Source organism: Homo sapiens, chromosome 1 (genome assembly GCF_000001405.40).
Source record: "Homo sapiens chromosome 1, GRCh38.p14 Primary Assembly".
NCBI classification, from domain to species: Eukaryota; Metazoa; Chordata; class Mammalia; order Primates; family Hominidae; genus Homo; species Homo sapiens.
In genome coordinates this window covers 23,841,196-23,868,852 of record NC_000001.11, presented here as the reverse complement: position 1 = coordinate 23,868,852, position 27,657 = coordinate 23,841,196, and the positions used below count along the sequence as shown (strand labels likewise).

General features: G+C 45.3%; 1 protein-coding gene across 5 annotated transcripts, besides 2 other annotated features; it reads left to right on the top strand.

Moving 5' to 3' along the window:
• Positions 563-23,776, top strand: FUCA1 (alpha-L-fucosidase 1). Of its 5 annotated transcripts, NR_174382.1 has the most exons (10): positions 563-1,129; positions 1,974-2,196; positions 2,882-2,943; positions 3,228-3,362; positions 5,582-5,719; positions 8,950-9,055; positions 14,293-14,493; positions 20,014-20,204; positions 22,680-22,779; positions 22,998-23,776. NR_174382.1 is itself a non-coding variant. In NM_000147.5 (8 exons), the coding sequence occupies exons 1-8, from the start codon at positions 567-569 to the stop codon at positions 23,136-23,138; spliced, it is 1,401 nt and encodes a 466-aa protein (NP_000138.2). In that variant the 5' UTR covers positions 563-566; the 3' UTR covers positions 23,139-23,776. The 5 variants fall into 5 exon arrangements, 1 of the variants encoding a protein (NP_000138.2); NR_174381.1 differs by lacking the exon at positions 1,974-2,196 and having other exon boundaries at positions 563-955; NR_174380.1 differs by lacking the exon at positions 2,882-2,943 and having other exon boundaries at positions 563-955.
• Positions 932-1,151: a silencer, noted in NCBI's record as "silent region_427". NCBI's record gives its function as "represses an Ori minimal core promoter by ATAC-STARR-seq in GM12878 lymphoblastoid cells {active_cell/tissue: GM12878}" and the evidence as "EXISTENCE:reporter gene assay evidence [ECO:0000049][PMID:35858748]".
• Positions 2,402-3,601: an enhancer, noted in NCBI's record as "BRD4-independent group 4 enhancer chr1:24191742-24192941 (GRCh37/hg19 assembly coordinates)". NCBI's record gives its function as "activates an origin of replication core promoter dependent on BRD2, P300/CBP, MED14 and CDK7 cofactors, and independent of BRD4, by STARR-seq in HCT116 cells {active_cell/tissue: HCT116}" and the evidence as "EXISTENCE:reporter gene assay evidence [ECO:0000049][PMID:35650434]".

Here is a 27,657-nt window from a genome sequence, read left to right as displayed (position 1 = left end):
AATGGACTACTCCCAGAGGCGTGATCACGGTTCGGTTCACTGCAGCCCAGACTTCCCGGGCTCAAGCGATCCCGAACCTCCCACCTCAGCCTCTCGAGTAGCTGGGACTCCAGACGTGCACCACTACGCCAGGCTCATTTTGTTTATTTTTTATAGAGACAGGCTAGTCTCCAACTTGTGGGCTCAGAGCGATCCTCCCGCCTCGACTTCCGAAAGTGTTAGGATTACAGGCGTGAGCCACTGCGTCCGGCTCAATGGACTCCTTCTTAAATGTGAGTTCTCCGCACACACTGGGCCTTGCTCACCTCCACGATTTAACCTCGCAGTTAAGTCCCTTTTCAAGGTTTTTATTCGTCCTTCAGCGAAGCGCTGTCAACGCCTCCCTGCGTCTTTCCCTTCTTGAGCACCAGAGGGCGCTCCTCCGACCCGAGGAGGAAGCGACTCGGGCCAACCTGTCCAGGTTGTCCCACCCCTTTTTCCTTCCGGGCCAATCGTTAGTCAGAGTGGGCGGAGCCGCCCGCGGGCACCTGCGCGTTAAGAGTGGGCCGCGTCGCTGAGGGGTAGCGATGCGGGCTCCGGGGATGAGGTCGCGGCCGGCGGGTCCCGCGCTGTTGCTGCTGCTGCTCTTCCTCGGAGCGGCCGAGTCGGTGCGTCGGGCCCAGCCTCCGCGCCGCTACACCCCAGACTGGCCGAGCCTGGATTCTCGGCCGCTGCCGGCCTGGTTCGACGAAGCCAAGTTCGGGGTGTTCATCCACTGGGGCGTGTTCTCGGTGCCCGCCTGGGGCAGCGAGTGGTTCTGGTGGCACTGGCAGGGCGAGGGGCGGCCGCAGTACCAGCGCTTCATGCGCGACAACTACCCGCCCGGCTTCAGCTACGCCGACTTCGGACCGCAGTTCACTGCGCGCTTCTTCCACCCGGAGGAGTGGGCCGACCTCTTCCAGGCCGCGGGCGCCAAGTGAGTGTGGTCCCGGGGAGCGGCGCCCCTTCCCGGCTCGGGCGGCAAACAGGAGGTGGGGCTGGGCGGCCAGCTGGGGCGCGCAGCTGCCGGTCGCCCCCATGACCCCGGGGCCCGCGTGTGGCCTCCTGCGGCCACAGGAGTGAGCCTGGCACACCTGATGAGGAGGAGGAGGTGCGTTTGACTGGGGACTGATAAATGAAGGTTCAGGGAGATGGCAGGCTGGGAAGCCCTGGGTATCTGCACCTGTGCACCGAGAGGGCTGAGTTAGGCCATACCTGATGTCCCTTTCAGATTGACAGCACTATCAGGACTCCAGGGTTTCAAATCAGTGGTGTGGAGCCTGGTTCTAATTCAACTGTGAACCTGGACATGTCACTTCAGCCTCCCTGCAGCCTCTTCTATGGTTGTAGAAAGGGGTTATATAAGGATACAACCCTTTGAGCCCTAATGTCTCTAAGAGGGAAAGAGAGGGGAGTTCTGGTGTGCAGTGTATTTGGGCAACAGTACAGATAGTCATTCGTTTGCTCCTCTCAATCCCTTTTACGTAGGAAGTGTCCAGGAAGGGTCTGACTCTCTCTGAGAACTGTTGGAACTTGGGGGTGGCTGGTTCAGAGAACAGAGTAGAGAGCGCTGGGGTGGGGATAAGGGGAGACCACGACCCATGAAGTTGTCAAGGCAGGGGCTTGTCCTGAAGGAGTGAGCCTTGAGAGCCCTGTATTGACAGATGTTAAGTCAGGGAGTGGTTACTATCAGCTTCTAGAAAGATTCATTCGGCTGCTGGGAGAGAAGTGGGTTGGAGAAGAGTAAAAATGGAGGCGGGGAGGTTTCCCCAGCCCCTGGCTTAGAGCAGTCTTCCATCCTTACCTTGGTTCCTCAGCCATCTTCCGGGTTTTCGTTTCTCTTGAACTTTGAATTCACTTGTACTAAAGAGAAGTTACAACTGGCATTTAGTGTTTGCCATTAAATGTATGGGAGTATAAGACTTGATTAAGCAGAGGAAGTGTTTGTCTCCTAGGGGCCTTAGGGATCCATAACTTACAAGTGAGAAAAATTAAAATCTGGGAGATAACCTCTTTCCATGCCTTTTATTTCATGGATGAGATGACTGGCCCAAAGAGAGGAAGGAATATAATGTCCTAGACTCCAGGTCTCATGACGTCAAGGTTGTTTCCACTGCACCAGGGTCTGCAAACTGGCCAGAGGGATTGGTCCTCTGCCAGTTTTTTAAGGCCCATGAGGTGAGAATGGTTTTTACATTTTTAAAGGGTTGTAAAATGTTTTAAAGAAGAATACACTACAGAGAGGAATGTGCTCCCACAGAGCCTAAAATACTATCTGGCCCTTCAAATCCTGGAGTTCCCTACTCTGGCCAATGATTGAACCATAAAGTGCATTACCTATTTTTGTGCCATAAAAGCAAATTAAATATTGAGTGATTTGGTTGTTATTTCAACACTTGCCTTTTCTCCCAGTTATTGGGTCTTTTGTCACCTCTATAATAAATGAGAGGCAATTTATGTAGGCTTGGTAAACCAAACAGCTTAGTTTTCTAGAAAGTTTTCTATTTTGTTGTTATTGTTGTTTTGAAACAGTTTTGCTCTGTAGCCCAGGCTGGAGTACAGTTGCATGATCTCGGCTCACTGCAACCTCTGTCTCCCAGGCTCAAGTGATTCTTATGCCCCAGCCTCTCAAATACCTGGGACTACAGGCACACACCACCATGCCCGGCTAATTTTTGTATTTTTAGTTGAGATGGGTTTTCGCCTCATTGGCCAGGTTGGTCTTGAACCCCTGACCTCAGGTAATCCGCCCACCTTGGCCTCCCAAAGTGCTGGGATTACAGGTGTGAGCCACCATGCCTGGCCAGCAAATGGCTTAGTTTTCTATTATCTGCCATTTCCAGTAGAGCTCTTTCTCCTTCAGGGCAAAGAATGAAAGAAAGTTAATCGTTCCTACCAGAAGTGTTGAAGAATCAGAGAGCTAAGGTGCACTTCTTTTCCCTTACCCACTCCTTCCTTCCCTCTGGGCCTCCTCCTTTGCTGGGGACTGAGGGTTGGGACTTCCTCAAATCTGCTTCCATTCTTGGAGCAATGCCCAAGGGGAATTGTGACTGCAGCAGCTTCCTGGATATCACTAATATAGTCACTGGTACAAGTACATTTGTTGTGGTCAAGTTCTTTCAGCTATTTAAAAAGCCTCAGGCATGCTGGGCAAGTTCATGCAAGTTCACTGCCCACTTCCTTTGCTCATGTGGTTTTGCTGTCCACAGGTATGTAGTTTTGACGACAAAGCATCACGAAGGCTTCACAAACTGGCCGAGTCCTGTGTCTTGGAACTGGAACTCCAAAGACGTGGGGCCTCATCGGGATTTGGTTGGTGAATTGGGAACAGCTCTCCGGAAGAGGTGAGTGTCCAGGGATGGTTACTCTGTTATCTCTTTGGATCTGGCTGTCAAGAGTTCTGTACCTCCTCTACTTGCGTGTGTTTTCTAGGTTTGCATATAGCAAGTAGCCTGAAGGGCTTTTGGCCTTCTACTCCTGTGTGTTTTCTAGGTTTGCATATAGCAAGTAGCCGGAAGGGCTTCTGGCCTTTGAATTGGCAGTGTTTGATGCTTCACAGTTTTCACGTGACCAAAGGGGACACCGTTACAGAAGTTCATGGCCATGTCTGGTTAGATGAAGGATACCCAACATAGACTACGATGCTACTTGATGTCCTGTTTGAGGAGTAGGCTGAGTGTCTGTATAAATCATAAAGTTTGATTGGAACACAGCCATGCCTATTCATTTATGCACTGTCTGTGACTGCTTTCAAGCTACAATTTGAGAGCTGAGATAGAGACCAAATGGCCTGCAAAACCTAAAACACTGTCTGGATCTTTAAGAGTTCACTGGTCGGGTGCGTTGACTCACACTTGTAATCCCAGGACTTTGGGAGGCAGAGGCAAGCAGATCATGAGGTCAGGAGTTCAAGACCAACCTGACCAATATGGTGAAACCCTGTCTCTACTAAAAATACCAAAATTAGCCGGGCGTGGTGGCGTTTGCCTGTAGTCCCAGCAACTCGGGAGGCTGAGGTAGGAGAATCACTTGAACCCAGGAGGCGGAGGTTGCAGTGAGCCAAGATCGCACCACTGCACTCCAGCGTGGGTGGCAGAGCGAGACTCCGTCTCAAAAAAAAAAAAAAAAGAAAAAAGACAAAAAGAGTTTGCTGACTCCTGTCACCTGCTCAGTTTGTTTCTCAGCACTGTGCTTTGCTTAAAGTCCTGCTGTAAAACTCTGAGATATTGATTAGATATGGACTTCAGGAGTCATGATTTTTACCATCTTTATTTAGTCCCTGGGTCATATGATGAAATACTTCAGTTGTTTTTTATCTGTGTAATTGCTTCTTGCATTATAAGGTTTTTGTAACACTCACCATTCTTAACCCAAAGCAAGCTTTATTAAATATGAAAATAGGTCATCAACCACATTTCATTTTGTGTACGTTAAGAACTATTAGTTTGGCCAGGCGTGGTGACTTACGCCTGTAATCCCAGCACTTTGGGAGGCCGAGGCGGGTGGATCATGAGGTCAGGAGATCAAGACCATCCTGGCTAACACAGTGAAACCCCGTCTCTAGTAAAAATAAAAAATAAATTAGCTGGGTGTGGTGGTGGGCACCTGTAGTCTCAGCTACTTGGGAGGCTGAGGTAGGAGAATGGCGTGAACCCGGGAGGTAGAGCTTGCAGTGAGCCGAGATTGCGCCACTGCACTCCAGCCTGGGCGACAGAGCGAGACTCCATCTCAAAAAAAAAAAAAAAAAGGAAAAAAAGAGAAAGAACTATTAGTAAATCTTAGATAAATAAAACGATAAACCTATATTCATTTCAACTGTGTGGAAAATGTTACTAATGATTATTTCTGAGTAAGAGTACTTTGCATATTTGATTTTCTATTTTCCAGTTTCTTTAAATATGAAATTTTATGATTGACAGGGAAGACATTTTTTAAAAATAAGGCTATATGGTTTTTTGTTTTGTTTTGTTTTGTTTTTGTTTTGAGACAGGGTCTCACTCTGTCGCCTTTGCTAGACTCCAGTGGCACAATCTTAGCTCACTGCAATCTCTACCTCCTGGGCTCAAGCCATCCTCCCACTTTAGCCTCCCAAGTAGCTGGGACTACAGGCTCGCACCACCACACTCAGCTAATTTTTACAGTTTTTGTGGAGACAAGGTCTCACTATGTTGCCCAGGCTGGTCTCAAACTCATGGACTCAAGGGATCCTCCCACCTCAGCCTCCCAAAGTGCTGGGATTACAGGCATGAGCCACTGCGCCCAGCAGGACTATACTCTGTTGGGATAATTGACTTAAAAGATAAAAGATGGTTTAAATAATATTTTGGTGTTAAGATATTTATGTATAAAAGGTAGTTATGTGTTTAATCAAAAACACAGTAAACCTCATTTTGCTTAAGTGAATAGTGAATAATTTAAGGAAATGGTTTTGGATCCCATTCCTCTCTATATGCTCTTATGAGTGAGTGCCACTGAAATGAAAAAATGCTAGAACTGATTTTCCTTAAAATAAATTATTTGTTCTATGCTTAATGACAGTTGCTGTTCTGTTTTTCTGTTTAAGGAACATCCGCTATGGACTATACCACTCACTCTTAGAGTGGTTCCATCCACTCTATCTACTTGATAAGAAAAATGGCTTCAAAACACAGCATTTTGTCAGTGCAAAAACAATGCCAGAGCTGTACGACCTTGTTAACAGGTAAGACACTGAAATATTTTGGCCCTATGACTTTTATCAATGAAATCAGAGCTTCCTATAGGGTACCATTAAAGTGGAGGAGGGATAGGTATGAAAAAAACCTAAAAGACATCAAAATAATAAAAAGTGGTGGTTGTATTAAGACAAAATATGTTCTTTCCTCCTGCCTTTCAGAACTTCTGTCATGTGGCCATATTGCCTTCTACATTGAAACAATCACACAAAACCCAGGATGGCAGAAAGTCAAAATTTTAGTTCCCTTCTTACATGCCGTTTTCCCTATGTCAGGACCCTGGAGAGGGGGTGGTTTGGCATCGGGCAGATTTGTGTTTGAATTCTGGCTCCTGTTACTTACATGCCTTAAACAGAACACTCTCCTGAGCTTGATTCTCACTCTGTAAAGTGGGGATAATAATGCCTTCTTTGTAGGGCTCAGAATAGTATGTGAAATGTATCTGTCACGGTGCCTGGTACAAAGTAAGGCTGTTGTTATTACCATTATTCTTTAAATGATCACTTTCACTTAGGGATTTGTCACTAGTTCTTCACAATGTTTTATCCCCATTTGCCTTTCTCGAGCCTGGGGACTCATAGAGGACGGTAGACCCTTAAAGCTTCAGAGGCAGCTGCCTGGACCCTCACTTTAGAGCAAAGGAAAATCACCTTTAGCCAGGCGCAGTGGCTTACGCCTGTAATCCCAGCATTTTGGGAGGCCGAGGCAGGCAGATCACTTGAAGTCAGGAGTTCGAGACCAGCCTGGCCAACACGGTGAAATCTCGTCTCTACTAAAAAATACAAAAATTGGCCAGGCATGCTGGTGCATACCTGTAGTCCCAGCTACTCGGGAGGCTGAGGCAGGAGAATCTCTTGAACCAGGGAGGCAGTTGCAGTGAGCCGAGATCCTGCTACTGTACTTCAGCCTGGGCTACAGAGGAAAACTTTGTCTCAAGAAAAGAAAAATTACCTTGTATTCAGATTCTATCCAGATGACTTCTCTTAAGAAAATAGTAACAATTGTAAGAGACCATCAGAGACATGGACAGATTTAGAATTACTGAATCTTAGATCCCCACTCTTTTATCGTACTTGGCTATGTTGCCTTGAACAAACTACTTATCTTTCGAGATCTTGGTTTCTCTATCTGTGAAATGGGATAATAGTATATCCTAGAATCATGAGAACTAATGAGGTAATGAGTTTAAATTGCCTAGTACAATTTCTTATACACAGTAAATCACAGACCATCTGTTATATCTTGCCACTTAGTGATCTTCCTAGAGTTTACCTGCCTAATTATGGAGTACAGTGGACAAATGGGCAGATTTGTATTTGAGTTCCACCTCCTGTTACTTACAAGCCTTGTCACCTGAAACAAATTGCCCTACTGAGCATCAAAGTCTTGCTGCTCAAATGAGAATAATAATGCTTACCATATAGGTATATACATATGTATTTATGTATATACACACAACATACATGCCTTATAGGGCTCAGAGTAATAATATGCTAGAGTACAAATGGGGCTCCAGTGGATTCCATAAGTCCTTTACAGTACAGACTTTGGTAATTATCCACAAAAATGCATTTTATGAATAGTTCCAACTCTTAAAACATCTTCAAAGCAAATCTTAGTCTTATAGTCCTGAAGCACCATTTTGTTTCCTTTGCTTCCTTGAAACACCATTCTTTTTTTTTTTATTATACTTTAAGTTTTAGGATACATGTGTACAATGTGCAGGTTAATTACATATGTATACATGTGCCATGCTGGTGTGCTGCACCCATTCTTTTTTTTTTTTTTTTTTTTTTTTGAGACGGAGTCTCGCTCCGTCGCCCAGGCTGGAGTACAGTGGCGCAATCTCGGCTCACTGCAAGCTCCGCCTCCCGGGTTCACGCCATTCTCCTGCCTCAGCCTCCCAAGTAGCTGGGACTACAGGCGCCCGCCACCATGCCCGGCTAATTTTTTGTATTTTTAGTAGAGATGGGGTTTCACGGTGTTAGCTAGGATGGTCTCGATCTCCCGACCTCGTGATCCGCCCGCCTCGGCCTCCCAAAGTGCTGGGATTACAGGTGTGAGCCACTGTGCCCGGCCAGCTGCACCCATTCTTAATTGGAATTAGTTGCTGAAAGGAAACCAAATTGTTTGTATGCTGATTACACCTCCATTTCCTAAAAGGCATAAAGAAAAAAGATTAGGGCAGGCACAGTGGCTCATGCCTGAAATCCCAGCACTTTGCGAAGCCGAGGCAGGTGGATCACTTGCTGCCAAGAGTTCAAGACCAGCCTGGCCAAGATGGCAAAACACTGTCTGTACTGAAAATATGAAAATTAGTCAGGCATGGTGGTGCACACCTGTAATCCCAGCTACTTGGGTGGCTGAAGTGCAAGAATCACTTGAATCCAGCAGGTGAAGGTTGCAGTGAGCCGAGATCACAGCACTGCACTCCAGCCTGGGAGACAAAGCAAAACAGTCTCAAAAAAAAAAAGGAAGAAAGGAAAAGATCAGGAGGAAATATACCAAAATGCTGTGTGTTTTTTTTTTTTTTTTTTGAGACGGAGTTTCACTCCGTCGCCCAGGCTGGAGTGCAGTGGCGCAATCTCGGCTCACTGCAAGCTCCGCCTCCCAGGTTCACGCCATTCTCCTGCCTCAGCCTCCCGAGTAGCTGGGAATACAGGCGCCCACCACCACACCTGGCTAATTTTTTTGTATTTTTAGTAGAGACGGGGTTTCACCGTGTTACCCAGGATGGTCTCGATCTCCTGACCTCGTGATCCGCCCATCTCGGCCTCCCAAAGTGCTAGGATTACAGGTGTGAGCCACTGTGCCCAGCCTGCTGTGTTTGTTTTAAATGGTGGTTTTATTAGCAAACTGGTTTTATTAGCAAATGTTTTCAGTTTTCCACATCCTCTGCACTGTGATAATTTTTATGCCACATACTTTCAAAATGAAGGAAAATTAATTTTAAAATATTTGTTGCAAAAATCAGTCCACAAGTCAAATGCAGTGATGTGCACCTGTAGTCCCAACTACTCAGGAGGCTTAGGCAAGAGGATCGCTTGAGCCCAGGAATTCGAGACTATAGTGCATTGTGATCATACATGTTGATAGCTGCTGGACTCAAGCTTAGGCAACATAGCGAAACCCCATCTCTAAAAAAAAAAATGGTCCATAAGATTTTACTGTGAACATGTTCAGATAATAAGCTCTGTCCTGATCACATGTCTTCCAGCTATAAACCTGATCTGATCTGGTCTGATGGGGAGTGGGAATGTCCTGATACTTACTGGAACTCCACAAATTTTCTTTCATGGCTCTACAATGACAGCCCTGTCAAGGTATGTGATTATATGACTTCTTATTTATCTCCTATGAAGAAAGAAAGTGCAAGGAGCCAAACTCTGGAGTAGACAACCACAGCAGCAGCAATAATAAACAGGAATATCAACATGGGGGCAGTAGGGACTGGGACACTTAATGGATGTTAAAGGTTTCTCCTTTAATCTTCCCTGGCTCCCTTAGAGTATAAGTTTTCTTCTCCTTTAGTGTTGTTTTTTTTTTTTTTTAATTGAGACAGAGGCTCACTCTGTCACCCAGGCTGGAGTACAGTGGTGCGATCTCCGCTCACTGCAACCTCTGTCTCCCGAGTTCAAGTGATTCTCCTGCCTCAGCCTTCCGAGTAGCTGAGATTACAGGGGCCCGCCACCTGGCCGGCTGATTTTTGTGTTTTTAGTAGAGACAGGGTTTCGCCATGTTGGGCAGGCTGCTCTCGAACCCCTGACCTCTGGTGATCCGCTCACCTTGGCCTCCCAAAGTTCTGGGATTACAGGCGTGAGCCACCGCACCCGGCAATCTCCTTTAGTTCTTAACTTTGACAATATAGGTTTAAACAGTGGTAAATTTACATAGTAGACTAAAAATAGTAATTACAATTCCCAGACCACTACAGAAAAAATAAACTCTATTAAGCAAACAAATGTTATAAATGAGAAAACCACCAAAAAGATATTAAAACATATAATAAAATACAAAGAAAACATATAAAAGACATACAGGCCAAGCATAGCAGCTCATGCCTGTAATCCCAGCACTTTGGGAGGCCAAGGCAAGCAGATGACTTGAGTCCAGGAGTTCAAGACCAGCCTGGGCAACGTAGTGAGACCTCATCTCTACAAAAAATAAAATTAGCTGGGTGTGGTGGCACGGACCTGTAGTCCCAGCTACTCGGGAGGTAGTCCCAGCTACTCAGGAGGCTGATGTGGGGGGAGGCTGACGTGGGAGGATCACTTGAGCCCAAGAGGTCAAAGCTGTAATGAACCTAGATCACGCCATTGTACTCCAGCCTGCGTGACAGTGAAACCCTGTCTCCAAAAAATAAAAATAAAGAAAACATATAAGATACACAAAACCTACAAAATTAAATGGTAGGAATAAAATGCAGATGCCTACAATCCCACCTACTCTATGTTGATTTTATAGTTTAACTCTCAAGGGACACACTTACTTCCCTTATATCCAAATCCTTGGGGGAATGTTGCCTACCCAGTACGCCTCCCTATAATCAACACTATGAGGCAGTGCATAATGGCTGCCCATTTACAGTTTGTATTTTAGCGTACTTGCAAAGTAGCGGAAACCCTAATCTTCACTGTAGCAAATTTCACGATTGTACATGTTCTAGATTTGTTGTGGATTTAAAAGGAAAATCTTAAGTGTAAAAGCAGTTTGTACTGAGGTACCTTGGTAGTTCATAAATCTCTAAGGGTCTTGGCCAGGTGCAGTGGCTCACGCCTGTAATCCCAGCACTTTGGGAGGCCAAGGCAGGCAGATCACGAGGTCAGGAGATCGAGACCATCCTGGCTAACACAGTGAAACCCCATCTCTACTAAAAATACAAAAAGAAATTAGCCAGGCGTGGTAGTGGGTGCCTGTAGTCCCAGCTGCTCAGGAGGCTGAGGCAGGAGAATGGTGTGAACCTGGAAGGCAGAGCTTTCAGTGAGCCGAGATCGCGCCACTGCACTCCAGCCTGGGCGACAGAGTGAGACTCCTTCTCAAAAAAAAAGTCTAAGGGTCTCATTGGGTCTCTATTACTAAGCTCAGAAAATGGGAAGAAAGAAAAAAACAGATTCTATATGATGCACAGAGACAGATTAAGAGTGGTTTTCTAAGGCCGGGCGTGGTGGCTCACGCCTGTAATCCCAGCACTTTGGGAGGCCGAGGCTGGTGGATCACGAGGTCAGGAGTTCAGGACCAGCCTGGCTAACACGGTGAAACCCCGTCTCTACTGAAAATACAAAAATTAGGCCGGGCCTAATTTTTACATGCCTGTAGTCCCAGCTACTTGGGAGGCTGAGGCAGGAGAATGGCGTGAACCCGGGAGGCGGAGCTTGCAGTGAGCCAAGATGGCGCCACTGCACTCCAGCCTGGGCAACAGAGCGAGACTCTGTCTCAAAAAAAAAGAAAATACAAAAATTAGTCGGGCGTGGTGGTGGGCACCTCTAATCCCAGCTACTCGAGAGGCTGAGGCAGAGAATTGCTTAAACCCGGGAGGCGGAGGTTGCAGTGAGCAGAGATCGTGCCACTGTACTCCAGCCTGCGCAACAGAGCGAGACTCTGTCTCACAAAAAAAAAAAAGAGTGGTTTTCTGGAACTTGATGAATGTTTGTGACCTCCCAGATGTGCAGTTCATCCCTAGGTAATGAACTCTGATGTGATGTCATATCGTAATTGTCTGCATATCTGTCTCTGCTAGTCTCTGCTGGATCGTTGAGGGCAAGAACTCTGTTTTATTCACCTTGGAAACTCAGTGTCTGCCACAGTGTGAGCCTCATGGTAGTTGCTGAATAAATAGGAAAAGTAGGTGGGTGTTGAACCAAGAATTCAGATTGTTAATACCCCATTTGTCTCTGAAATGGCGTCTATGTATATATGTTCAGGGTGTATACCCCTCGAGCTAGGTCGCTTGCTACGTGAGGTTACAGTCTAGTGTTTGTGCTTAAGGAGTATCACAGAAGGAAAAATGACTAGCCAAAGATGCAGGATTGGGAAAGGGAAGAAAATATCAACCCCAGTGTCATTTAAAAAGCATGACTAGCTAGACAGCCTGAACTTTTTTGGCTTTTTTTTTTCTTTTCTTTTTTTTTTGAGAGGGAGTCTCGCACTGTCGCCCAGGCTGGAGTACAATGGCACGATCTCGGCTCACTGCAACCTCCGCCTCCTGGGTTCACACAATTCTCCTGCCTCAGCCTCCCGAGTAGCTGGGAGTACAGGCGCACACCATCACACCTGGCTAATTTTTTGTATTTTTAGTAGAGACGGGGTTTCACCATGTTGGCCAGACTGGTCTTGAAACTCTTGACCTTGTGATCCACCCGCCTCAGCCTCCCAAAGTGCTGGGATTACAGGCGTGAGCCACCGCTCCCGGCCGGCCTCTCTTAAACAATAATTCCTAAGCAACCAGGACCTTCTGTGTGGGTGTGCCTCAACCCATCTTCACAGTAGCTTCGCAGACATATGGGGACTGTAGATTCTCCTTCATTTCTACCAGGATTTATTGAGAGCCGGTGCCGTAGCATGCCGCATGCTAAGCCTTGGAAATGCTGAATGAATGGTTTCTGCTCTTAGGGAACTACAGTCTGAAGAGAAAGACAGACATACAAACAAAGTACATTGTAGGGTGACCAGTATGATAGTAGAAGTATGTCCTGAGGTCTCCACAATCCATAGACACTGGTTCGAATGCCAAAGTGGAGGGTACTGCATTAGCTTCTGTGGGATGAAGGAGTGCATGGTTGTGTCTGTCCTTGACAGGCTGAGTGTACAGGGAGCGTTCACATCACCTGAGGACTCTGAGAAAGAGGAGGTGTGGCAAGGAGACACCTTTATTCACTCTGAGCCAGAGTCTGGGCACACTGTCACTTTTATCCCTCCCTCTCAAACCCCTGTGAGGTGGGTGATATTTGCCTTTGGATTTTGTTTGTTTGGTTGGTTTTGTTTGTTTGTTTTTATAGATAAGTAACTAACTTAAAAGGTAAAGTTACCTGCCTAAGACCCCTTGACTACTAGGTGGTGGAGCCAGCTATGAACCTCAAAGCCCTTGATAATCTTGTAACCAGGCATAAACTCTGATATGATGTCATATTGTAATTGTCCACATATCTGTCTCCTCTGCTAGTCTCTGCTGGATGGTTGAGGGCAAGACCTCTGTTTTATTCACCTTGGAGACCCAGTATCTGCCCACAGTGTGAGCCCCATGGTAGTTGTTGAGTAAATACTTATTGAATAAGCGGATGGGTAGGTGTTGAATGAAGAATTAGGATTGTTAATACCCCATTTTTCTCTGAAATGGCTTTTACATACCTGTTCTTGAATTGATCTTGAGTTGTCCTTTTCAATTCTGTGACCCATGATGCCCAGACATTGATAATCAAGTACCAGACATTGGATTGAACTAGTTACAAATAATGACTATTCTTCTATTTCTCTTTGGCACTTAACTAGCTTCCATAGGAGAAACTTCATACCAATGTGAATGACTCTAAAACAGGCAAGAAATGGGAATTTTAAACTTTTAATAAATCTCTTTTTGCCGTGATGAATTGAACATGGTTTCAGTTTTGTTTTTGTTTTTGTTTTTGAGACGGAGTCTCGCTCTGCTGTTGCCTAGGCTGGAGTGCAGTGGCACGATCTCGGCTCACTGCTACCTCCGCCTCCCAGGTTCAAGCGATTCTCCTGCCTCAGCCTCCCAAATAGCTGGGACTACAGGCATGTGCCACCATGCCCAGCTAATTTTTTGTATTTTTGGTAGAGACGGGATTTCACCGTGTTAGCCAGGTTGGTCTCTATCTCCTGACCTCATGATCTGCCTGCCTTGGCCTCCCAAATGGTTTCAGTTTTTATCTTGTATTGGCCACTCTGTTATAAAATATGCTGCATTTAACATTTACATTAAGATATTCCATGTATGATTTATCATTCTTCAGCTAAACCTTGAAGTAAGAAAAAGAATTTGCTATTTTTTTTTTTTTTGAGTGGGATTGTCTTAAGACTTTTTTTTTACGTAAGTAAGGCTGGGATTATATAGTTGGAAAACAGCCTGCCATGGGTTCAGATACCTGATTTGTAGTTCCAGCTTTTGAAACTGCCTAGGGGCATGGCCCCAGGCAGGTCCTCTCCTGTTCATTTCTCCTCTTATAGAAAAAGTGATTTACCAGATGATCTTTAAAGCAAGCTCTCCCAGCCCTGACATGTATCTCTGCAGCAGGGTTTCTCTACCTCAGTACTGTTGACATTTAGGGCTGAATATTTCTTTGCTGTGGGGGCTGTCCTGTGCATTGTAGGACGTTTAGTAACATCCCTGGTCTCTACCCACTAGATGGCATACCACCCCCGTTGTGACAATCAAAAATGTCTCTAGACTTTACCAAATGTCCCCTCCAGAGCAAAATTGCCCCCAGTTGACAGCCACTGCTCTAGACTAAGTTTCTTGCTTCCAAATAGAGCCTTACCAAAGTGTATTACATAAAGAAGTCAAGTGGTTTTACTCCTCATGACCAAATATTCTTTCCCTCCTTAGGATGAGGTGGTAGTAAATGACCGATGGGGTCAGAACTGTTCCTGTCACCATGGAGGATACTATAACTGTGAAGATAAATTCAAGCCACAGAGCTTGCCAGATCACAAGTGGGAGATGTGCACCAGCATTGACAAGTTTTCCTGGGGCTATCGTCGTGACATGGCATTGTCTGATGTTACAGAAGAATCTGAAATCATTTCGGTAAGAGCACCTTTGAGTTTTTTGTTTTTGTTTTTTTTTTTTTAACATGCAGTATGATTTATTTTATATAATGTTCAAAAGCTTGCAAAAACAGCATATTGTTTACAGATGCATATTTTGGAGGTAAAATTATGAAGAAAAGCGAGATCATTATAAACAAAATTTAGGAGGGGGCTGGGATGGAGAAGGGCATGCAAAAGGGCTTTAACGGTGTTGGTTGTAATCTATATCTTAAAGTGGGTGTGGGTAGTAGGGTGTCCAGTTTTTTATTTATTTATTTATTTATTTATTTATTCTTTATTGATCATTCTTGGGTGTTTCTCACAGAGGGGGATTTGGCAGGGTCATAGGACAATAGTGGAGGGAGGGTCAGCAGATAAACAAGTGAACAAAGGTCTCTGGTTTTCCTATGCAGAGGACCCTGCGGCCTTCCGCAGTGTTTGTGTCCCTGGGTACTTGAGATTAGGGAGTGGTGATGACTCTTAACGAGCATGCTGCCTTCAAGCATCTGTTTAACAAAGCACATCTTGCACCGCCCTTAATCCATTTAACCCTGAGTGGACACAGCACACGTTTCAGAGAGCACAGGGTTGTGGGTAGGGTCACCGATCAACAGGATCACAAGGCAGAAGAATTTTTCTTAGTACAGAACAAAATGAAAAGTCTCCCGTGTCTACCTCTTTCTACACAGACACGGCAACCATCCGATTTCTCAATCCTTTCCCCGCCTTTCCCCCCTTTCTATTCCACAAAACCGCCATTGTCATCATGGCCCGTTCTCAATGAGCTGTTCGGTACACCTCCCAGACGGGGTGGTGGCTGGGCAGAGGGGCTCCTCACTTCCCAGTAGGGGCGGCCGGGCAGAGGCGCCCCTCACCTCCCGGACCGGGCGGCTGGCTGGGCGGGGGGCTGACCCCCCCACCTCCCTCCCGGACGGGGCGGCTGGCCAGGCGGGGGGCTGACCCCCCCACCTCCCTCCCGGACGGGGCGGCTGGCCGGGCGGGGGCTGACCCCCACCTCCCTCCCGGATGGGGTGGCTGCCGGGCAGAGACGCTCCTCACTTACCAGACGGGGTGGCTGCCGGGCGGAGAGGCTCCTCACTTCTCATATGGGGCGGTTGCCAGGCGGAGGGTTTCCTCACTTCTCAGATGGGGCGGCTGGGCAGAGACGCTCCTCACCTCCCAGACGGGGTCGCGGCCGGGCAGAGGCGCTCCTCACATCCCAGACGGGGCGGCGGGGCAGAGGCGCTCCCCACATCTCAGACGATGGGCGGCCGGGCAGAGACGCTCCTCACTTCCTAGATGGGATGGCGGCCGGGAAGAGGTGCTCCTCACTTCCTAGATGGGATGGCGGCCGGGCAGAGACGCTCCTCATTTTCCAGACTGGGTAGCCAGGCAGAGGGGCTCCTCACGTCCCAGACGATGGGCGGCCAGGCAGAGACGCTCCTCACTTCCCAGACGGGGTGGCGGCCGGGCAGAGGCTGCAATCTCGGCACTTTGGGAGGCCAAGGCAGGCGGCTGGGAGGTGGAGGTTGTAGCGAGCGGAGATCACGCCACTGCACTCCAGCCTGGGCACCATTGAGCACTGAGTGAACCAGACTCCATCTGCAATCCCGGCACCTCTGGAGGCCGAGGCTGGCGGATCACTCGCAGTTAGGAGCTGGAGACCAGCCCGGCCAACACAGCGAAACCCCGTCTCCACCAAAAAAATACGAAAACCAGTCAGGCGTGGTGGCGCGCACCTGCAATCGCAGGCACTCGGCAGGCTGAGGCAGGAGAATCAGGCAGGGAGGCTGCAGTGACCCGAGGTGGCAGCAGTACAGTCCAGCTTCGGCTCGGCATCAGTGGGAGACCGTGGAAAGAGAGGGAGAGGGAGACCGTGGGGAGAGGGAGAGGGGGGAGAGGGAGAGGGAGAGGGGAGTTTTTTGTTTTTTTTAATGAAATGGGGTCTTGCTCTGTCATGCAGGCAATAGCGCAGTGGCACGATCATACCTCACTGTAACCTCAAACTCCTGGGGCTCAAGTGGTCCTCCCACCTCAGCCTCCTGAGTAGCTAGAACTACAGGTGTGCACCTCTACAACCAGCTAATTTTTAAATTTTTTGTAGAGACAGGGTCTTGCTATGTTGCCCAGGCTGGTCTCAAACTCCTGGCCTCAAGAGATCTAGCCTCAGCCTCCCAAAGCACTGGATTACAGGCATGAGCCATGGCAGCTGGCCTGAGTTCACTATTTTTTAACTATGGATCTCAAACCACTTTTTATTATTATTATTATTATTATTACCTTCTAACATACTATATGATTGATTTTAATTATTTTTTTCCTCTTTTTTTAAATTTTACTTTAAATTCTGGGATACAAGTGCAGAGTGTGCAGGTTTGTTTCATAGGTATACATGTGCCATGATGGTTTGTTGCAAACTATCAACCCGATATCTAGGTTTTAAGCCCCACATGCATTAGGTATTTGTCCTAATGCTCTCCCTCCCCTCACCCCCACATTCCAACAAGCCCTGGTGTGTGATGTTCCTCTTCCTGTGTCCCATGTGTTCTCATTGTTCAACTCCCACTTATGAGTGAGAACATGTGGTGTTTGGTTTTCTGTTCCTGTGTTAGTTTGCTAAGAATGATGGTTTCCAGCTTCATCCATGTCCCTGCAAAGGACATGAACTCATTCTTTTTTATGGCTGCAAAACCAGCTTTTTTATGTAAGAGTGATGTCCAGCTTCATCCATGTCCCTGCAAAGGACACATTCTCTTTTATGGCTGCAAAACCAGCTTTTTTATGTAAGAGTGATGGAAGTACTCTGGATAGAAGTGCAGGTCAATAGAACCCTTTTAAGGACATTGAATAGACTAACAGAAACCTGTCCTAAGGAAATAATTAGAGTTACACAAGAAAGTTGTGCAGAGGTCCTTCCCAGGATTATTTGTATGTATGTATGTATGTATGTATGTATGTATGTATGTATGTATGTGTATATTTATTTATTTATTTATGAACGAACTTCACTCTGTCACCCAGGCTAGAGTGCAGTGGTGCGATCTCGGTCTGCTGCAACCGCCGTCTCCCGGGTTCAAGCAATTCTCCTGCCTCAGCCTCCCGAATAGCTGGGAATACAGGCACGTGCCACCATGCCCAGCTTATTTTTGTGTTTTTAGTAGAGACAGGGTTTCTTCATGTTGGCCAGGCTTGTCTCGAACTCCTGGTAACCATAAAAATGTTGACAAATTTAATATGGGTTAATGTTTAGAGCACTGAATGAAAAAACAGTTACATATTGGCTGGGCACAGTGGCTCATACCTGTAATGCCAACACTTTAGGAGGCCAAGGTGGGAGGATCCTTTGAGGCCAGGAGTTCAAGACCAGCCTGGCCAAAATAGAAAGACCCCATCTCTATTATTATTATTATTTTTAATAAAGTTACATATTGGCTGGGCATGGTGGTGGCTCACACTTGTAACTCCAACACTTTGGGAGACCAAGACAAGAGGATTGCTTGAGGGCAGGAGTTTAAGACCAGCCTAAACAACATAGTGAGACCCCATCTCTATTTTAAAAAATAAAAATAAGTGGCCAGGCACGGTGGCTGACACCTGTAATCCCAGCACTTTGGGAGGCCAAGGAGGGTGGATCACAAAGTCAGGAATTCGAGACCATCCTGGCCAATGTGGTGAAACCCCGTCTCTACTAAAAAATACAAAAAAAATTAGCTGGGCGTGGTGGCACATGCCTATAATCCCAGCTACTCAGGAGGCTGAGGCAGGAGAATTGCTTGAACCCAGGAGGCAGAGGTTGCAGTGAGCTGAGATTGCGCCACTGCACTCCAGCCTGGGTGACAGAGCTAGACTCCGTCTGAAACAAAAATTTTTTTTAAATAATAATAAATAAATAAAATAAGTTACATATTATTACAACTATATAAAATTAACTACATAGGAAAAAGACTAGAAGAAGACATCAAAAGTTAATGGTGTGGTGTCACTTGGAGTACTGTAATGAATTCTTATAATGAATTCTTTAATTCTTTTTTTTTTTTTTTTGAGATGGAATTTCGCTCTTGTTGCCCAGGCTGGAGTGCAATGGCACGATCTCAGCTTGCTGCAACCTCCACCTCCCGGGTTCAAGTGATTCTCTTGCCTCAGCCTCCCGCATAGCTGGGACTACAGGTGCCTACCACTGTGCCCAGCTAATTTTTGTATTTTTAGTAGAGACAGGGCCTTCACCACGTTGGCCAGGCTGGTCTCAAACTCCTGACCTCAGGTAATCCACCTGTCCTGGCTTCCCAAAGTGCTGGGATTACAGGTGTGATCCACCATGCCTGTCTGAATTCTTCAAATTCTGTAATGAATTTAAAATTTTCTCTATATAACCTTAGTTTTTCTGAGCTGCCTGGATATGTATAATACCTGTTCAAGGTCACAGTAAAAACACACACACCCAAATCCCACTCCAGAAGTCTTAAAGAATGTATCTCTTGGCTGAGCACGGTGGCTCACACCTGTAATACCAGCACTTTGGGAGGCTGAGATAGGTGGATCACAAAGTCAGGAGTTCAAGACCAGCCTGGCCAACATAGTGAAACCCCATCTCTACTAAAAATACAAAAATTAACTGGGCATGGTGGTGCGCACCTGTAGTCCCAGCTACTCGGGAGCCTGAGGCAGGAGAATCACTTGAACCCAGGAGGCGGAGGTTGCAGTGAGCCGAGATTGTGCCACTGCACTCCAGCCTGGGAGACAGAGCAAGAGTCCGTCTCAAAAAAAAAAAAAAAAAAAAAAAAAGAACGTATCTCTTTATAGCAGTTTTCCCAAAGGGGCAGCATGTTCATTTATATAGCCCAATGCGTAAGGAATGTCCTGAAATTCTCAGCTTCCCTGCCCACACCTCATGTTTCTGGGGCATGACCCTTCCCACTGCACTCAGCACCATGAGAAGTACAGTGTCACAGGAAGTGCTCCATGGCCACTCCCTGAAATTCAAGTTAATATAATATAGCCTGATTTTTCATTTACTCACATGAGCCTAACCTGCTTTTATAGTGACAAAAATATATATAGAGAGAGAATTTTTAGCTCAGGTGCGGTGACTCATGCTTGTGATCCCAGCACTTCGGGAGGCCAAGGCAGGCAGATCACCTGAGGTCAGGAGTTTTGAGACTGGCCTGGCCAACGTGGTGAAACCCTGTCTCTACTAAAAATAGAATGATATTAGCTGGATGTGGTGGCGCATGCCTGTAATTCCAGCTACTCAGGAGACTGAGGCAGGAGAATCGCTTGAACAGGGAGGTGGAGGTTGCAGTGAGCCGAGATGCAGTTGAGCCAAGATCACGCCATTGCACTCTAGCCTGGGCGACAAGAGTGAAACTCCAGCTCAAAAAGAAAAAAAAAAAAATTAAAACAGCAGAGGATATTTAAAAAACAGAGTGTGCCCTAGATTCTTTTTCTTCTCTGTCTATTTTAAGCATGATGCCAGGCTTGGCATTCATAGCTAGACTTTCATTGTTTCTGTTCTCTCCAGGAACTGGTTCAGACAGTAAGTTTGGGAGGCAACTATCTTCTGAACATTGGACCAACTAAAGATGGACTGATTGTTCCCATCTTCCAAGAAAGGCTTCTTGCTGTTGGGAAATGGCTGAGCATCAATGGGGAGGCTATCTATGCCTCCAAACCATGGCGGGTGCAATGGGAAAAGAACACAACATCTGTATGGTGAGTCTTGTCTTCTGTTGTGTGTAAGAACAGAACAGTGCCCCATCCGGAACTGGTATCTCCTTGGGTCCACAATGTCACAAGCCAGGCTGGAAGTTGCCTTGAGAAAATCCAGAAGGTTATTTTCCTATAAAATTTGTACCCCATTTGAGTTATGTCTCAGGCTACTTGGTTATCTTTGACTAGTGAAGGGAGAGAGTGGGTTTGGTGAAAAGGGAAGGAGCAACAAAGCATCAGTCAATTTATTGAGATTATTACCCTGCCCCCTAAAAATAGTAATAATGAATGCTTGGATTGTACGGAGCCCCATCCAAAATTCTTTCCATTCATACTTGGACTTCTGGATCTAGTTATTTGATCTTGGGCCCCATTTTTTCCACTGCAGAATGGAGTGATGATGCTTTATAGTGTTGTGAGGATTAAATGAGATGAGTGCCAGGCACAAACTCAGTGTTCAATTAAAGGGAACTGCTTTTATTATACCAGAGAGCTTAGGTCTCTGGATCTAATCCCTCTATTAATCCCTCTGTTTTGGATGAGTTTCTGTTTAGTGGTTGTCTTAGTCCATTTTCTGTTGCTATAACTGAATCCCACAGGCTGGATTTTTATTTTATTTTATTATTATTTTTTAGACAGTCTCACTCTGTCACCCAGGTTGGAGTACAGTGGCAGAATCTCAGCTCACTGCAACCTCTGCCTCCAAGGTTCAAGCAATTCTCCTGCCTCAGCCTCCCAAGCAGCTGGGATTATAGGCACCCGCCACCACGCCCAGCTAATTTTTGCATTTTTAGTAGAGATGGGGTTTCACCATGTTGGCCAGGCTGGTCTCAAACTCCTGGCCTCAAGTGATCCACCTGCCTCTGCCTCTCAAAGTGCTGGGATTACAGGCATGAGCCACTGCACCTGGCTTAGACTGGATAATTTTTAAAGAATAGAGGTTTATTTAGCTCACAGTTCTGGAGGCTGGGAAGTTCAAGAGCATAGCACCAGCATCTGGTAAGGGCCTTCCTGCTACATCATGACATGGTTGGGGATGAGAGTGGGCATGTCCACTCAGGTCTTTCTTCCTTTTATAAAGCCATCAGTCCCATCATGGGGCCCTGCCCTGATTACCTTATATGATCCTAATTACTTCCCAAAGGCCTCACCTCTAAATACTATACCATCGACATATGAATTTGGGGATTAAGTTTCCATCATGAGATTTGGGAGATGCATTCAAACCATAGTAGTGATTTTCATCCTCTTCTCTAAACATAGTGAAATTTCAGAACAGGCTGGGTGCAGTCTCAGAAAAAAAAAAAAAGAAATCTCTGAACAACAAATTTGTTTTCATTGCATGTCTTGTCCTTGTTATAGTCTCTGCTATTTTCACATGGATTTGGAATAGAAAAGAGATTTGAATAATAAGGTAAATGGCTCTATTTATTTGCAGTAACTGATGTAGGAGATAATTTTTAAAGACAACTTAACCCAATTGGTAGGGAAAATAGATAGTATCACCAGATAGAGTTTTATAGACTGCCTCCTTCCTGCACACCTTCATTGGTATTGAGTTATTGGTGCTCCCTAGTAACAGTGACAGACTCGAGGACTGGGATTTGGTAGATAATTGAAAGGGGAATGAGTGGCCTTGTGCAGTGCTTCATGCCTGTAATCCCAGCACTTTCTAAGGCCAAGGTGGGAGGATCACTTGAGCCCAGCACAACACAGCAAGTTGTGTTGGGCAACACAGCAAGACTCCATCACTTAAAAAAAAAGAAATTAGGCCCAAAACAGTGACTCACGCCTGTAATCCGAACACTTTGGGAGGCCGAGGCGGGTGGATCACCTGAGGTCAGGAGTTCAAGACCAGTCTGGCCAACATGGCGAAACCCCGTCTTTACTAAAAATACAAAAATTAGCAGGGTATGGTGGCAGGCACCTGTAATCCCAGTTACTCAGGAGCCTGAGGCAGGAGAATTGCTTGAACCTGGGAAGTGGAGGTTGTAGTGAGCCAAGATCACGCCACTGCACTCCATCCTGGACAACAAGAGCCTGGACAACAAGGCTTCGTCTCAAAAAAAAAATAAATAAGGAGCTGAGTGCAATGGCTCATACTTGTAATCCCAGCACTTTGGGAGGCCAATGCAGGTGGATCACTTGAGGCCAGGAGTTCAAGACCAGCCTGGTCAACATAGCAAAATGCCATCTCTACTAAAAATACAAAAGTTAGCCAGGCGTGGTGGTGCACACCTGTAATCCAGTGACTCAGGAGGCTGAACCACAAGAATTGCTTGAACCCAGGAGGCGGAGGTTACAGTGAGCCAACATCACACCATTGCACTCCAGCCTGGGCAACAGAGGGAGACTCTGTCTCAAAAAAAAAAAAAAGAAAAGAAAAGAAAATTAACATTAAAAAGGAGGAAATGTATAAAGTTGTATATCAGGATAACAAGTCAGGTATCTTTGACAGTGTTGTTTCTGTTTTCCCAGGTATACCTCAAAGGGATCGGCTGTTTATGCCATTTTTCTGCACTGGCCAGAAAATGGAGTCTTAAACCTTGAATCCCCCATAACTACCTCAACTACAAAGGTAAAGAGGCTTAGTCAGTCTTAAGATGTAACTTTCTGTAAAGGAATTGGCAGATCCTTCCTTTCTTCCTTCCCTGCCAGGTTTCTCCCATATTCACACCTCTTTTAGACTGGCTTTCCTGCCCTGGCCCAGCGTGGCTGTTTCCTACCATAGTCAGCCTGTATTCTATACTCATTAGTGCATTACCAGTTTGTTTCATTCCCTTTTGTTTTCTGCAGATAACAATGCTGGGAATTCAAGGAGATCTGAAGTGGTCCACAGATCCAGATAAAGGTCTCTTCATCTCTCTACCCCAGTTGCCACCCTCTGCTGTCCCCGCAGAGTTTGCTTGGACTATAAAGCTGACAGGAGTGAAGTAATCATTTGAGTGCAAGAAGAAAGAGGCGCTGCTCACTGTTTTCCTGCTTCAGTTTTTCTCTTATAGTACCATCACTATAATCAACGAACTTCTCTTCTCCACCCAGAGATGGCTTTTCCAACACATTTTAATTAAAGGAACTGAGTACATTACCCTGATGTCTAAATGGACCAAAGATCTGAGATCCATTGTGATTATATCTGTATCAGGTCAGCAGAAGAAGGAACTGAGCAGTTGAACTCTGAGTTCATCAATTGTAATATTTGGAAATTATCTACAATGGAATCTTCCCTCTGTTCTCTGATAACCTACTTGCTTACTCAATGCCTTTAAGCCAAGTCACCCTGTTGCCTATGGGAGGAGGTGGAAGGATTTGGCAAGCTCAACCACATGCTATTTAGTTAGCATCAGTTGTCACCAACAGTCTTTCTGCAAAGGGCAGGAGAGCTTTGGGGGAAAGGAAAAGGCTTACCAGGCTGCTATGGTCAACTCTTCAGAAATTTTCAGAGCAATCTAAAAGCGCCAAAATTCGCTATGTTTACAGTGATACTATTAAGAAAATGAATGTGATTCTGCTCTGTCTTTTTAAGTATGATCAAATAAAAAATTTGTACATCACAATCATTTCTACCAAAAAAACATGGTATAGCTTTCTTTTCCTAGTTTCAACTTATACTGCTTATAGCTTTAAGATCAGTTTCTGGTTTGTGTGTGTTTTTTTTTTAAGGAGATTTGCAAAATCTCCTTAACACTGAACAAAAAATGTAATTCCTGTGTTTTTTCTGCTTCTCACTTCTAATACCATTCTTCTGAATTGACTACCAGTTCAGCCTCTTTGTTAGAGATCTAATCAAGTTTTCTATTTAATTTTTCCTTAATAGATATGTTTAGAAATCTTGTTTTGTTTTGTTTTGAGGCAGAGTCTTGCTCTGTTGCCCAGGCTGGAGTACAGTGGTGTGATCTCGGCTCACTGCAACCTTCACCTCCCAGGTTCAAGTGATCCTTCCTCCTCAGCCTCCCAAGTAGCTGGGACTATAGGCACACCACGATGCCCAGCTAATTTTTTTTTTTTTTTTTTTTTTGTAGAGACGGGGTTTCACCATGTTGCCCAGGCTAGTCTCGAACTCCTGGGCTCAAGTGATCCACCTACCTCACAGCCTTCCAGAGTGCTGGGATTACAGGTGTGAGCCACCACACCCAGCCAAGTAGATATATTTAGAAATCTTTATCCAACATTTAAGGAATATGTGTTTTTCTCAAGCACATATGGAACATTTGCAAATCTCAAATACCAAAGAAGCAACATCATATAAGCTATTTAGTGTCTACAATATAATTAAAGAACAATAACAAAAACTTGGAGAAGAAAAAACTGTGTTTGTAAAAGTTAAAATACACTAACTCATTATGTTACTGATTCATAAATTTATGGATTGTGCCATGAGATATAAAGAATTCCAAATATGTAGTTCTTGTGAGGCAAATGAAGCCTGGTTGTGAAAGAAAAAAGTAACACATTAGTGTAAGTAGATTAGCACAGCCAATTTTAATTAGATCACTTTCTGCCCAGAATTAGAGAGCAAGCTGATGATAATAATATTGCTTATATGGTTCTTCACAGTCTTAAAGCAACTTCATGCACACTTCTAAAAAAAAAAGAAAAGAAAATACTTGGAATGATAGTAACACTATATATTGAACCTTATAAGATGTAGCTTTAAAAATAAAAGTACTTCAGGAAAATATAGCGTTAAATGTTTATGTTAAAAAGAAGGCTGGAAAGAAGTAATGAAGGCCAGGTACAGTGGCTCACGCCTGTAATCCTAACACTTTGGGAAGGAGAGGCGGGTGGATTTCTTGAGTCCAGGAGTTCCAGACCAGCCTGGGCAACATAGCAAGACCCCATCTCTACAGAAAATACAAAAAGTAACCAGGCGTGGTGGTGCACACCTGTAGTCTCAGCTATTTGGAAGGCTTAGGTGGGAGGATTGCTTGAGCCTGGGAGGTCGAGGCTGCAGTGAGCTGAGATGGATCACACCACTAGACTCCAGCCTGGGTGACAGATCAAAACCCCGTCTCTAAATAATAAAATTTAAAAAGCAAAGGAAGTAAAGGGATGTAAGGAGCAGCAAGGATTAAACCAAACTGTCATTGTTCTCAGGTGATGAAACTGTCCACATAGAAAACCTCAAATAATATACAAATGAATTATTAGAATTAATAAGTTGTTGGATCAGAGACAAAAATCAATTACATTTCTACAGTCCAGAAACTAGAATACAATGAAAATATTCCATTTATCATAACCAAAGATATAAGTAACTAAAATGAAATTAGCAAGAGTTGTGCAAGAAGCACCAAACCATTGCAGCTCCAATGGCCCCAAGTTTCCAGCTTCCATTTCCCAAAGGAAGGGGATGCAAGGGTGACAAGATGGTGCCAGGCAGCCTCTCTCAGACCTTTTGGAGTTTTCTTGACCCAGCCTTGCTGACTTTGTAGAATGTGTTGAGCAAATCCTGTTGGGTGAATCCATGAAAAATTCCAACTCCTGGTGGCAAAATCGCAAAATTCCAGCCCTAGAAATGTTCTCAGATTTTTTTTTTAAGACAGAGTCATGCAGTGGCATGATCTTGACTTACTGCAACCTCCACCTCCCAGGTTCAAGGGATTCACCTGCCACAGCCTCCCGAGTAGCTGGGATTACAGGCACGTGTATTTTTAGTAGAGACGGGGTTTCACCACGTTGCCAGGCTGATCTCGAACTCCTGACCTCAAGTGATCTGCCCGCCTCAGCCTCCCAAAGTGCTAGGATTACAGGTGTGAGCCACTGCGCCTGGCCAAAATGTTCTCAGCTCTTAAATCTTCTAGAAGACACCAAATGTCTGGAGTGGTTTACGGCATGAATCCAGGATCATTTTTATCAAGAGGAGTAGAAGAACCAAGTCCTCAAAAATTTAATTCCAAAGTATGGCCCCAACACTATGTCTTCAATACGTCCAATGTTTCAAGTGTACCCGTGCTCTTGGGCATTATTCAATGATGGCAGCTAAGAAAACTGACAGCCCAACTCCTTTCAAAATCAAGCCCCCAATGTGTCCCCAACAATAATTCAATATTGTATCCAATGTCATTTTTTTTTTTTGAGATGGAGTTTCACTCTTGTTGCCCAGGCTGGATTGCAATGGTTTGATCTTGGCTCACTGCAGCCTCTGCCTCCTGGGTTCAAGTGATTTTCCTGCCTCAGCCTCCCGAGTGGCTGGGATTACAGGCACCCACCACCACACCCGGCTAATTTTTTTGTGTTTTTAGACAAGACAGGGTTTCGCCATGTTGACCAGGCTGGTCTTGAACTCCTATTCTCAAGTGATCCGCCCACCTCAGCTTCCCAAAGTGCTGGGATTACAAGCGTGAGCCACCACGCCTGGCTGTATCCAATGTCTTGAGTAAATCAGCTTTGTTGAGTGTTATTCAAGAATGGCTGCTATGAAAACTTGGAGAAACTCCTTTCAAAATTGAGTCCCAAATGTGTCCCTAATCCTTAAATCTTCAATGTTGCATCCAATGTCTGAAGTAAATCCACGCTATTGGATTTGATTGCAGGCTAGTTCCAACAGAGACAGGTAGATCCAACTCCTTGTAAAATCAAATCTCAAACTGTGTTCCCATCTCTGAGACCCAGACTGCATCTAGTATCTGGAGTAAATCTGTGCTGTTGGACATGATTTCAGATTCCAGGATAGTTATGATAGAGATAAGTAATTTCAGCTTCTTACAAATCAAGGTCCAAGGTGTGTTGTTTCCTTTCCCTGAGCAGGTGGAATAGGTCTGTGGAGAGTGACGGGTGCAGATGGTTTGCTGTGAAGATGTGGATGGAACCCCTTACAAAATGGAGGTCCAAGGTGTGTCCTGGTTCTTAAACTTGAACTCCTGGCCTCAAGCCATCCTCCCACCTCCACCTTCCAAAGTGCTGGGATTATAGGCGTGAGCTACCACGCCTGACCTCAATTCTTAAGTTTTCCAGACTGTATCAGATCTTGCTACTAAATCTGTATCCAGTAAATCCATGTTGCAGGATCTTCCACAATGGAGATAATAAATTGAATGCCTTAAAAGATTTGACCTGAACTCAAATGTCTAAAGTCATTCAGTGTTGAAATGACCAGGCAAGGTCAGGATGGATTGCAATGAAGAGTGGGTTGAACGCCTTATAAAGACCCACAGTGTGTCTCAACTCTTCAGCTAGGGACCTTGGGAGGCCACTCACTCTCATTTGCCACAAAATCCTAGCGTGACAAACTATTTTTGCACTGTGCTTATCTTAGGAAACTCCGTCTCAAAAAAAATCTTATTTTGCACTGTGCTTATCTTCCCAGGCACCAGAACAGAAGGGAAAACTTGTACATAGTTGCAAATAACTTCACACTACTCCATCCCCTCTACTGCCACAGAATCTACTTTGAGGCACTAAGGAAAAAAAAAGACATCAGTTTGAAAAGTGCCCCTATCAGAGCAATATGAAT

Excerpts from the sequence above, each read along its gene's own strand:
- FUCA1 (NM_000147.5), top strand. The coding sequence starts at position 567 with ATGCGGGCTCCGGGGATGAGGTCGCGGCCGGCGGGTCCCGCGCTGTTG. Across the intron at positions 14,494-20,013 it reads AAGAATCTGAAATCATTTCG|GAACTGGTTCAGACAGTAAG; the intron begins GTAAGAGCACCT and ends TGTTCTCTCCAG. Across the intron at positions 22,780-22,997 it reads TAACTACCTCAACTACAAAG|ATAACAATGCTGGGAATTCA; the intron begins GTAAAGAGGCTT and ends TGTTTTCTGCAG.